Consider the following 13,146-nt stretch of genomic DNA (forward strand, 5'->3'; position numbering starts at 1 on the left):
GCTGTGACTGCTTCTAAAAGTACACAAAGCTTTACTGAAAGTCTGACCCTGGCAGTTTTCCTTTCCTTTCTCTTACCCAAAGACACCAGCACCCTCATTAGTTGCCAGATGATGCCTCTTCTGGCTGAGACTGGAGGACGCTTTGTGTTGGTGCGGGGACAATTCAAGATTTGTCAGCTGGTAGTGGCTGATTATCAAGATGTCCAAACTGGCTCCTTTGCTATGTGTAAGCAATTTAATTTTGTGCCTAATTTTAATCTGCAGTGTACTGTATGTCTGCATCTGCTGTGTTAAAGCATTCATTAGCATTTAAAGGGGGAGCTGATGGTATTGATCACTCTTATTAAAAGTAAAAACAATAATGTGGCAGTAACTGATGAGCATTCTCTTCAACCACTGAAGTCACAGCCAAAGTTTATGTACTCAAAACACTGGCAGAAACAGAAAATGAGATGTTAAAGCAAGAATACAAGGGGCATCTGTTATAGGCATTTATAGTTGACTACCACCCACCCAACCCCCAGCTTCCCAGATTATAAGCTTCTTGAAGGTAGGAAACTTTATTACTGAATTTCTATCACTTGGCTCAGAGTAAGTTTTCAATACATTTTCGGATGAATGACTAAATTAAAGAAGGAAGGTGAGGCCGGGGCAGTGGCTCACGCTTGTAATCCCAGCACTTTGGGACGCTGAGGCAGGTGGATCACCTGAGATCAGAAGTTCGAGACCAGCCTGGCCAACATGGTAAAACCCTGTCTCTACTAAACATACAAAAATTAGTCAGTCATGGTGGTGGGTGCCCATAATCCCAGCTACTCTGGAGGCTGAGGCAGGAAAATCACTTGAACCAGGGAGGCAGAGGTGGCAGTGAGCCGAAATCGCATCATTGCACTTCAGCCTGGGCAACAAGAGCAAAACTCCATCTCAAAAAATAAATAAATAAATAAATAAATAAAAAGAAGGTGAAAAAACCAATGCATGGTATATAAACACTCAACAAGAACAACTATATTTTTCTTACAGACAGCATAATAGCTATGTAATACTATGTAACAAATCACCCCAGAACTTAGTGGTTTAAAATAAGAACAAGCATTTACTATCTCACAGAGTTCTTGTGGGTCAGGAATTCAGGAGTGGCTTAGCTGGCTGGTTCTGGGTTGGGTTTCTAATGAAGTGTCAATCAAGACATTGACTGGAGCCACATTCATCTGAAGGCTTGACTGGGGCTGGAGAATCTGCTTTCAAGATGGTCCTCCCAAGAGTGTGCTGGTGTTCTTAGGAGGCATCAGCTCCTCCCCATGTGGACCTTTCCACATCTTTAAGGATCCTCATGACATGATGGCTGGATTCTCGCAGAAAGAGTGATCAGGAAGATAAGGTGCAAGTTACAATATCTCTCATGACCTAGCCTCAGAAGTCACACCCAGCCATTTCTGTAAGATCCTAGTGTATAGACAGCTATACACAGGTCAGCCTACTCAATGTGGGAGGACTGCACAAGGGTACAAACACCAGGAAGTGAGAATTATTGAGGGCAGGGGCTGTCATCTCATAGGCTTGCAACCACAGGTACCAGTTAAATCTCTGGCCTCCCCATTGTAATTTGGTGTCTTCTTTTCTAAGCTTTGCTGTTTCTGCTTGTTTCACGTTTTCCCAGTCTAAAATCTGGACCTAAGCATAGTTCAACTGAGTGTTAGAGCAGGAAGGCATCTTGAAGACCATTTACAGAAGTTCAATGTGCTCATTTTGCAGATAAAGAAACCAAAGCCTGCAGGGTTCTGAAGCACCTGCCCCATCACTCAGCCAGCTATGGGCAAAGGCAGAGCTCAAGGCTACCCAGCTCTGGCTCTTCTCTGTTCTCATTGAAGCTTATGCCTTGTGAAATGTTTAATCTCCAGTAAAAACAGTGTTCATGAGGTCCATCAGCTGTAAGTTAATGCTTTTGTTATGGTACAGTTGAATTTTCTTGGGTCTCCATAAACAGCGGAAGAGTCTTCATGAATTAGTAGATGAGTAAATGCTTCTAAAAGCAAGACATGAAGGCAATTACATTTCTTCTTTCCTTCACCAGGCCTGTGTTGGTTTCCTCCAGATTTCATGGTGCTATACAGAGATTATGTGTTTTATGGAATAAATATTTCTAACAAAGTCGTCTTTAAAATAAGTTTTAATGCTCAATTCAGTCAAGCAAACATTAGCTGACACCCACTGGGTGTTAGGTATCAGCCTTGCATTCTCTCTGGTTTCCACTGTTAATTCAGGAACAAGTCTCAGAGGTAAGGAGAATTATTTCCCTATTGACCTAATTGGAAACTTGGAAAGAAAGAAATTGAAACATAAAATGGCAAAAGAAAAAGCATTTATTTTGTGGAACAGGAATAATTTGTTCCCCACTCCTTTGCCGTTCTTTGGTTCCTTCTGCATTCCTCTCCACTCTCCACTCCCCCTTCCCCTGTTTGCACTTCATCCTTGCCTGAGGGACCTGAGGCTCTGAACCTGAAGTTCTTGGGACTTAGCCTACTCTGTTATTCTTTGTCTTTGTCTTAAAAATGTCTAACAATCACTAGCTCCTGCATTTAATATAACACACTCAATGATGACCTTTCCTTAAATTTGAGCCATTTTAGCAAATCACTATCTTATTTTATCAAAGGCTCAAAATAAGTTTACCAAAAATAAGAGCTCTATTAATCCAACACTAGATGGTTGTTATGAACTGGATGTTTGTCCTCCCACAAATTCCAATGCTAAAACCCTAATCTCCAATGTGACAGTATTTGAAGATGGGGCCTGTATTGGTCCATTCTCACACTGCTATAAAGCACTACCTGAGACTGGGTAATTATAAAGGAAAGAGGTTTAATTGGCTCAGAGTTCTGCAAGCTTAACAGGAAGCATGGCTAGGAAGTCTCAGGAAACTTACAATCATGGTGGAAGGCAACAGGGAAGCAGGCACCTTCTTCACAAAGCAGCAGGAGGGAATGTAAGCAAGAACGAGGAAGTGCCACACTTCAAAACCATCAGCTCTCTTGAGAACTCACTCTCATGAGAACAGCATGGGAGAAACCATCCCCACGATCCAATCACCTCTCACCCAGTCCCTCCCCTGACATGTGGGGATAACAATTCCAGATGAGATTTGGGTGGGGACACCAAGCCAAACCATATCAGGGGCTTTTGGAGTAATCAGCTTACGAGGGTGGAGCCCTCATGATGGAATTAGTATCCCATAAGGAGAGTCATGAGAGATGAGAGCTTCGTTCCTCTCCCCTACTCTCCTCTCCCCTTCCCTCCTCTCCTCTCCTACATGAGGATACAGCAAGAAGATGGCAGCCTGCAACCCAGAAGAGGGCCCTAACCAGAACCCAACCATGCCTGATCTGACTTTCCAGCCTCCAGAACTGTGAGAAATAAATTTGTGTTGAGACAAGACACCCAGTCTATGGTAATTTGTTAAAACAGCTCAAACTGACTAAGACATTCGGCAATTTTCAGAAGTCCCATTCTTCTTTACCAATACAGATGAAGTTCCAAGGAAACTCAAAAGGAAATCAACAATATCTGCTTGGTTATGTTGGTTTTTTGAGACAGGGTTTCAGTCTGTCACCCAGGCTGAGTGCAGTGGAGCAATCAGAATTGACTACAGCCTTGACCTCCCAGATTCCAGCGATCCCCCCTCCTCAGCCTCCTGTGGAGCTGAGACTACAGGTACACACCACTACACCTGGCTAATTTTTTTTTATTTTTTGTAGAGATGAGAGGTTGCCCAGGCTGGGGTCTCAAACTCCTGGATGCAAGTGATCCTTCCACCTTGGCCTCCCAAAGTGCTGGAATTACAGGCGTGAGCTGCCACACCCAGCTTCACCTGCTTGTTTTAATGAGGTTTCTCTATAAGAAACAGTCTCATTCTATCTAGTTCAAACACAATTGAATTTTCTGTAGCGTAGTATAAAACATATAATGGAAAGAATGATTATGATTAGAGTTAACATTTATTGAGTATTCATTATGTATGTGCCAAGCCTGGCTCTAAAACCTTTCCTCATTTAATCTTCACACCAACCCAATGAGGTAGAGTCTATTATCATCCCCATTTTACAGTTGAGGAAACTGAGACATAGAGAAATTAGCTATTTGCCCAAGGCAGTCCAAGAAATGGAACTGTAATAGGGTAGAACCCCATAAAGACTGGAGCTGGAGATGGTTCAGAATGTGAGGTGGCTCTAGCGGCAGATCCTTGCCCTTGTGCTCTGCCATTAATGTGATTCCACTACCCCCACAGGGCTGCTGCTTTCCATGCCACCACCATCTGATCTTCATTGCTCTCCCTCCTTCAGCTTGCAGCCACAGCCTTCCCATCCTTGCTGCTAGTTCCTGAACTTTTAGCTGCAGCTCCCACCTTTAACCAGTAAAACCTTCAAGCCTTCCATATTTCTTGTTTCAAAGTGCCAAGAGAGTCTATTTGGCCCAGCTCATATTTTTTAAACAGACCACAGAGGTTGCGGGTTGCTCAGCAGACCCTATGTTGGGTAGGTGTCCATTCCTGGTCTTGTCAGCTGTGGCCCATAAAGAGAAGAGTACGAGAATAGCAAATGATATAAAGCATGGCTATTTAGGCTACAAGGGCCTGCAGGTGCAATAATTTCTCTTAGAACAGAGTAAAGGCGTAACCTTTTCAGCACATTGTTATTCTCTAGTGATTAATTTACACAGTTTGCTACAAGGGCATATTTCGACAAATTTGCTGAATTTAATGTCTATTTTTATGTGGCACTTATAAGAACTGTACCAGGAAAATTACGCAGATAAAAATCTCTGCTTTTTAAGAAAGATCGGATCAGATAATTTTATATACCAAAGTGTAATCAATTTAAACCAGTATTAAACTGAGTACCTACTATGTGTAAGTTATCATCGAGGACAGACTTTTTTTTTTTTCCATACAGGATCTCACTCTGTCACCCAGGCTGGAGTGCAGTGGTGCCATAATGGCTCACTGCAGCCTCAACCTCCCAAACTCAAGCTATCCTCCCACCTCAGTCTCCCCCGTAGTTAGGACTATAAGCACTCACCACTAAACCTGGCTAATTTTTGTGTTTTTTTGTAGAGACAGGGTTTTGCCATGTTGCCCAGGCTGGTCTTGAACTCCTGGGCTCAAGTAATCCACCTGCCTTGGCCTCCCAAAGTGCTGGGATTACAGGCATGAGCCACCGTGCCTGGCCAACAGAATTATTATTATTATAATTATTATTTTATTTATTTTTATTTTTTGAGATGGAGTCTTGCTCTGTCATCCAGGCTGGAGTGCTGCAGCACAATCTTGACTCACTGCAGCCTCCACCTCCCGGGTTTCAGCAACTGTCCTGCTTCAGCCTCCCAAGTAGCCGGGATTACAGGCGTGTGCCACCATGCCTGGCTAAGACTCTTTTTAAGAGTAAGAATTAGGCCAGGGACGGTAGCTCATACCTGTAATCCCAGCACTTTGGCAGGCCAAGGCGGGTGGATTGCTTGAGGCCAGGAGTTCGAGACCAGCCTGGCCAACGTGGCAAAACTGCATCTCTACTAAAAATACAAAATTAGCCATGCATGGTGGCACGTGCCTGAAATACCAGCTTCTTGGGAGGCTGAGGTATGAGAATTGCTTGAACCCAGGAGGCAGAGATTGCAGTCAGTCAAGATCATGCTCTGCACTGCAGCCTGGATAACAAAGCAAGACTCTGTCTCAAAGGAAAAAAAAAAAAAAAAAAAGAATAAGAAATACAGTTTGTAGAATTTTAGGGATCACTTAGTTCAGTGTTCCTTAAACTGAGATCAGACGTGTTCTAAAGGTCACACATTCTGTAAGAAATGTTTTAAAGTTTTGTGTTCGTATTTCCAGAACAATCTAAAAAATTAGTATGAATGTATTCTGGAGTATCCATGTGGCCACCTCAAAACTATACACTGCCATGCAAATTATTAAGTGAGTCTGGGTTTTTCTTAATGCCAAATAGTATTAATATTACTCTTGGTGGGCTAAAAATACAAGGGGAAATTTTAAACACACATGAAATGCATTTATGCCAAAGCTCACTGCATGTAGTAGTTTGGTTTCCCAGTAATTGGAACACAGAAAAACGATGACAGAATTGAGTAGGTGAAGACACTGTATTCATGATGGGAACAACAATTTTGCTCTAAAAAACATCCCCTTTCATATCCAATTAATGCTATTAAGTTTGATTTTGTTTATATTCAGTTTGTAAGTCTGTGAGAGATGTATATAGTTGAATGACAACTCTCAGGAAAGAGGTTTCTGCTTTTTGGAGTGGTGGTTTTCTTTTAAGTAACATCATAACCAAAGTAATTGAGTAATCCTAGGAGAATCTCATAATTCTTTCCCTTTAAAAGGATGTCATACATTACTCAAGTTTGAGAAATGCTGATTTAAGTCAACCCTACTGAGTTTTAGATGGTAGCCACAGGGCCTAAAATAAGCTACAATTAAATCATAGTTACAATTACTACTACTACTGAAAATGGGAGAGAAGAAAAAAAACAAGAAAAAGACATCAGAAAGTGACCAGTAAGATGATCAAGATAGGCATGGTAAACAACCCTGTAAACTAATACTTAAGACAGGGACTGTAACTTTTTCATCCCGAGTGCCCAGAATGTTAGATCCTCTGTTAAGTGGTAGTAAACTCAAGTGCCCAAGACCACGCAAGGTGGAGACAGAGCCAGAACTGGAGTTTTAGACCTGTATTCTCTCAACTCCACTCCTAGAGCCTTTAAACACCTGCCTGCCCGGATTACCTAACTGTCATCACTTTCTCATTTCTTTTTCCTGCCTTTTTTCTTTCCTCAGTTCTCAGTAGTAATAATAAATTTAACTATACTTTATAGCTAACTCTGTGCCAAGTGCTTTAAAAACATGTTCTTGTGCCATGTTTAATTAGACTCCGCAAATCCTGGATTGTCTTTACTTTTGTTTTCTTTGCAATTTTGTTTTTCCCATGTCTTCGTCTTGAAGTTTCTTGAGCTAGGCGGCTTTTCAAGCTGAATGGCTGCCGGTGTTCCTGAAGGGTGTGCACTTTCAACCTGAATTAGGCCATTGTGCCTATTATTGGGATCATGAATTAATGATACTTGTCAGTCATTATCTTGAGAGCTTTTTGTTGTCCTTAAAGACAGTTCATTTTGCTTGCTATTGTGACTGTGACAATTTGGTTCTCAGTAAAAGACAGTTTACATGCGAGTGGAAACCTTTGTGTTTTGTAGTGTTCTGCTATGAGTTATGTTTTCCTCAGCCAAGTTCCCTGAAAGAAAACACCCTTCCTGTTCTCCCCTCAATCCATTATTTCTACCATGACAGGTTTCTCAAGCAAACAGGAAAACCATCAAATGTAACAAACCTTTTTCTTTATGTAGCGCTTCACAGCCGAGCACAGAGGCTGGCCCCCATAACAGGCAACATTACCACCTTAGTTAAACACCGTTATCTCTGTTCTACAGAGGTGAAAAGATTTCCCTGGTGGTATTAGAAAAATCTAGAGTGCTGTCCAAATTTTAATGCAGAAGAACCAAAGTTTAGTCTTTTATCCAGATCATTGTGGTCCCATGTACATCAACCTTGCAAGACTGATTCCATTTATAGCTATAGAAAGATAAAAATGAGCATTCTATTCAACCTGCAGGGCCGTAATCAGACTGTGCTAGGTCTTGCTGCTACAAAAAGACAGCACTTGGCTTCCCTGAGTGGGAAATTAGCATGAACTCCATTAGTTTGTGTTTTATAAAGACACGAACATTTCCCCTAATACATATCTTAAAAGAGAATTTCTCAAAAGATAGCTATTCTCCCCAGCCTTGCTACCAATCACTCTGTTATAGCGGGATGGATATCTCAAGTTTTATTAACAAATTATTTTACTAAATAAAGCCTAGATAAAAGATACACTCGTTCTGAGCTCCCTAAAAAGTTAGTGTTCTATCAGTGCTGGAAAGAGCGACTGACTAAACATTGATTCTAGTTTTTTGTTTGGTTTGGTTTTGAGACCGAGTCTCGCTCTGTTGCCCACGCTGGAGTACAGTGGCGTGATCTCAGCTCACTGCAACCTTCACCTCCCTGGTTCAAGCGATTCTCATCCCTCAGCCTTCCGAGTAGTTGGGACTACAGGGGCCTGCCACCATGCCTGGCTAATTTTTGTATTTTTAGTAGAATCGGGGTTTTGCCATGTTGGCCACGCTGGTCTGTAACTCCTGACCTCAAATGAGCCACCCACCTTGGCCTTCCAAAGCGCTGGGATTACAGGTGTGAACCACCGCGTCCAACCTGATTCCAATTTAAAAACAAATGATTAAGAACAAAGACAACAAAGAAAAGCAATCATAACCAGCACACACACTCTTCTTAAAATTGCCATTCCTGAGTTTGCTGCAGCATGTGGAAACCAAAACATTACCATTAATAGACAAGGAAAGGAAAATAATCCCAATCCTTTCTGCACTTCCAGAGTTTGACCTTTAACAGAGTCAGAGCTGGGTTGAAGGTAAGGAGAAGCCAACATTAGCTCAGCTGGTTGTCAGACCCACCACTGAAAAGTACTGGCTCCTTTACCATAGTGAATAGCTTCTCTGACAAAATTAGGGTCTTTGGCAGGGGTGGGGGTCACTATTTTATTTTTATTTTTATTTACTTACTTATTTTTGAGACAGGGTTTCACTCTGTCACCCAGGCTGGAGTGCAATGATGCATTTGTGTCCGGAATTGGTGGGTTCTTGGTCTCTGCGACTTCATGAAGCCGCGGACCCTCCAGGTGTTACAGTTCTTAAAGGCGGCGTGTTTGGAGTTTGTTCCTTCTGATGTTCGGCAGCGTCTTCCTCCTGGCGGGCTGGTGGTCTCGCTGGCTCAGAAATGAACCTGCAGACCTTCTCCGTGAGTGTTACAGCTCACAAAAGCAGTGCGGACCCAAAGAGTGAGCAGCAGCAAGATTTACTGCAAAGAGTAAAAAACAAAACCTCCACAGCGCGGAAGCAGACCCGACCAAGTTGCCACTGATGGCTGAGGGAGGGCAGCCTGCTTTTATTCCCTCATCTGGCCCCACCCACGTCCTGCTGATTGGTCCATTTTACAGAGGGCTGACTGGTCTGTTTTACAGAAAGCTGATTGGTCCGTTTTGACAGGGTGCTGTTTGGTGCGTTTACAGTCCCTGAGCTAGACACAAAAGTTCTCCAAATCCACCCTAGATTAGCTAGACACAGAGCACTGATTGGTGCATTTACAAACCTTGAGCTAGACACAGGGTGCTGATTGGTGTGTTTACAAACATTGAGCTAGACACAGAGTGCTGATTGGTGTATTTACAATACCTTAGCTAGATATAAAGATTGTCCAAGTCCCCACCAGATTAGATAGATATAGAGTGCTGATTGGTGCATCCACAAACCTTGAGCTAGATACAGAGTGCTGATTGGTGCATCCACAATCCCTTAGCTAGACATAAAGGTTCTCCAAATCCCTACTAGACTCAGGAGTCCAGCTGGCTTCACCTAGTGGATCTCGCACAGGGGCCACAGGTGGAGCTGCCCACAGTCCGGCCCGTGCACCCGCACTCCACAGCCCTTGGGCAGTCGATGGGACCAGGGGCTGTGGAGCAGGGGGCAGTGCTCGTCTGGGAGGCTCGGGCCGCGTAGGAGCCCACGGCAGCAGGGAGGCTCAGGCATGGTGGGCTGCAGGTCCCGAGCCCTGCCCCGCGCGGAGGCAGCTGAGGCCCGACAAGAATTCCAGCGCAGCCCCGGCGGGCTGGCACTACTGGGGGACCTGGCACACCCTCCGCAGCTGCTGGCCCGGGTGCTAAGCCCCTCACTGCCCGGGGCCGGCAGCGCGGCCGACTGCTCCGAGTGCGGGGCCCACTGAGCCCACGCCCACCCAGAACTCACGCTGGCCCGCAAGTGCCAGCCGCAGCCCCAGTTCCCACCCACGCCTCTCCCTCCACACCTCCCCGCAAGCTCAGAGAGCCGGCTTCGGCCTTGGCCAGCCCAGAGAGGGGCTCCCACAGTGCAGTGGTGGGCTGAAGGGCCCCTCAAGTGCAGCCAGAGTGGGCGCCAAGGCCCAGGAGGCACCGCAAGCGAGGGGTGCAAGGGCTGCCAGCACACTGCCACCTCTCGCCTTCACAGCTCACTGCAGCCTCAGCCTCCCGGGCTCAAGCCTCAGCCTCCCGGGCTCAAGCCTCAACCTCCTGAGCTCAAGCAATCCTGTCACCTCAGCCTGCCAAGTAGCTGGAGCTACAGGCAGGCACCACTACGCTCAGTTAATTTTTGTATTTTTTATAGAGACACGGTTTCACCATGTTGCCCAGGCTTGTCGCAAATTCCTGAGCTCAAGCAATCTGCCCGCTTTGGCCTGCCAAAATGCTGGGATTACAGGCATAAGCCGCCATGCCAAGCTTTTTTTTTTTTTTAAGTTTGTTCTGGTGATATTTTATCTTCTCCTTACCTGAGGAAGAAGAATGCTCAGTAATTATTTCACTATGCTTACTAATTGTTTCACTAATAATTCACTTAGTAATTATTTTAGATTTGCTCCAAAATAAAAGTAAGATAAGTATCTTTAAAAGAATAAAGTGTATCTATGTAAAGTGCTCCATTCACCTGGCTCTTGTCATCATAACATAGCTGTTATTATGGTATTTGCTGTTGTTGTTGCTAGTATATTATTATATCTTAAAATTCAAAATAAAATGGTCAGGCCTGAGACAGAAATAGTAAGGCTCTAAACCAGCTTTCACTAGCAAAATAAGCATTTTTGCTTTGCTCTTTTTGTTAATCATCTTTGTTTAAACCATTCTCCCCAACCCTTTTCTTTGTTTTGTTTTTAAATTGCCTTATGCGGAGCTTGCAGTGAGCTGAGATCATGCCACTGCACTCCACCCTGGGTGACAGAGCTGGACTCCATCTCAAAAAAAAAAAAAATTGCCTTATGGGTAATAACTGTGTTTGTAGTGGATCAATATTAAAATTCCTTAAAATATTATAATCTAGTAAGCTTACTCCCAAAATAAATATACCTATTGTCTTCAGGCTTTGGCTACTGTAAAAGGATTGTATGTCAGGGACTTAGTTGTACAAGTTTACATGTTCCTAAACATTAAACACTATGGTGACTTAGTAAATTGAATAAAATTCTGTAAATTTTTAATGGATCCCCAAGATTCCAATCTGATATTATTACATTATTACTTTTTAGTCAAGTTAAAAAAAAAAAAAGTGTGTGTGTGAGTGTGAAAACAAAAGTCTGGAAGGATACACAATAGAATATTAATTTTGTTTATCTCTGGGTGGTGAGAGAGCAGCTGTGTATTTTTTCTTGTTTTGCCTATTTGTCTAATATGTCAAAAATGAGCATGAATTGCTTGTCTTTTTTCAGTTAAAAAATGTATTTCTGGCTGGATGTGGTGGCTCACACCTGTAATCCCAACACTTTCGGAGGCTGAGACAGGAGGATCACTTTAGGCCAAGAATTCCAGACCAGCCTAGGCAATGTAATGAGACCCTATCTCTACAAAAAAATAAAAATAAAAAAATAAAAAAATTAACTATATTTCTGTTAATATTATAATCTAATATATTTAGATAAACCTTCGAAAGAGAGCTTTCTACCTCCTTGGCCCAGTGGATTCTTTTGGTATCTCCCTACCCTCTGAAGGAATCACAACAGTTATCCATGAGAGTCTTTGTTGTCAGCACCCCTAATTCTAGCCAGGCATTTTCAAGGGGGTATCCAATAAGCCCTAGCACAAATCTGTACCACTGCTAGTAAAAAAACCCTCTGAGTTTTTGTTCTATCAGATGTGAGCTGACAATTTCATCTTTGAGATTAAGGCAACCCTACATTTTAACACATCACTTAGGAGCTGTATGGAGTAGGACATACTTTCCCAATCTATGAAATGGGGACAAGGATATTTACTTCACAGGAGAGTTATGAGTGTTAGGGACAATGAGTGTAAAACTCTGAACAAAGTGTCTCGCAAGTGTGAGCTTTCAACCCACAGAAGCCACTCTAATAATTCTTTTCTGTGGGTCAAACAGCAAGAGGTTCTTGCCCATTCCCCCACCTGAGACGTTAAGTGTTAACATCTCAAAAAAAGGGCCGGGTATGGTGGCTCATGCCTGTAATCCCAACACTTTGGGAGGTTGAGGTGGGAGGATTCCTTGAGCCCAGGAGTTTGAGACCAGCCTGGGCAACATAGTGAGACTTTATCCCAACAAAAAAGAAAAAAAGAAAAAACACAGGAAGGCAGACTTTCCTTTCACACAGCCTTGCCCGAGAAAAGGAACAGCCTGCACTCATTTGCTGTTGAAATGATTAAGATGTCTGTATTGGCCAAGCGTGGTGGCTATACCTGTAATCCCAGCACTTTAGGAGACCAAGGCAGTTCAGTGGGCTGAGGCAGGAGAATCGCTTGAACCTGGGAGGTGGAGGTTGCAGTGAGCCAAGATCACGCCATTGCACTCCAGCCTGGGCAACAAGACAAAACTCTGTTTCAAAAAAAAAAAAAAAAAATGTGTGTATCTCTTAAGACAATACCCTTTCAATTTTAAATAACTAAAACCTGTATTTAGTTCAGCTGCTTATAGTCATTTAGCAGCTGATTAAACGACTACCAAATCATAAATATTACTGCTAATTCCTGAATAATTTAGCTTCTGTCCTGCTTACACTTCTAATTTATAAACCACCCATATTCTTAAAGACCTTTTCCCTCTCTAAATAATTAAGTCAATAAAATACTCCTTGGGCAGTGTTCATTTTGAGACTCTTCAAGACACCTGCTTTTCTTCTTTTTTTTTTTTTTTTTTTTGTTTACAATTGTCTTCTAAGTCCATATCTAAAACTCTTTGGGCTAGAGCCCAAGGTCTCTCAAATCAGCCTGCTCCAACTCACCACTTTAACACTACTATGTTTCGGTTTCCTCAACAGTATAAGATAATAATAGTACCTATCCTATCTCATGAGGTAAATTTCTTAGACCAGTGAAAGCTCATCATACAGTAAGTGGCTATTATTATTATTATAAAAGTGAAATATACTCCACTTAACATTTGCAACTCCATCAGTCCATCAGAATGGCAAACTGCCTACATGAGTGATTCTGTTTC

At 42.9% G+C, this 13,146-nt stretch overlaps 1 long non-coding RNA gene across 1 annotated transcript in view; it reads right to left on the reverse strand.

The window, feature by feature from the left end:
• Window positions 1-9,040, reverse strand: part of MAP3K20-AS1 (MAP3K20 antisense RNA 1) — an 84,325-nt gene extending 75,285 nt beyond the window's left edge. The window contains exon 1 of the long non-coding RNA NR_033882.1: window positions 8,686-9,040. This is a non-coding gene — a long non-coding RNA (MAP3K20 antisense RNA 1). The remainder of the gene's footprint in view (window positions 1-8,685) is intronic.

This window comes from Homo sapiens, chromosome 2, assembly GCF_000001405.40.
Source record: "Homo sapiens chromosome 2, GRCh38.p14 Primary Assembly".
Taxonomy (NCBI): domain Eukaryota; kingdom Metazoa; phylum Chordata; class Mammalia; order Primates; family Hominidae; genus Homo; species Homo sapiens.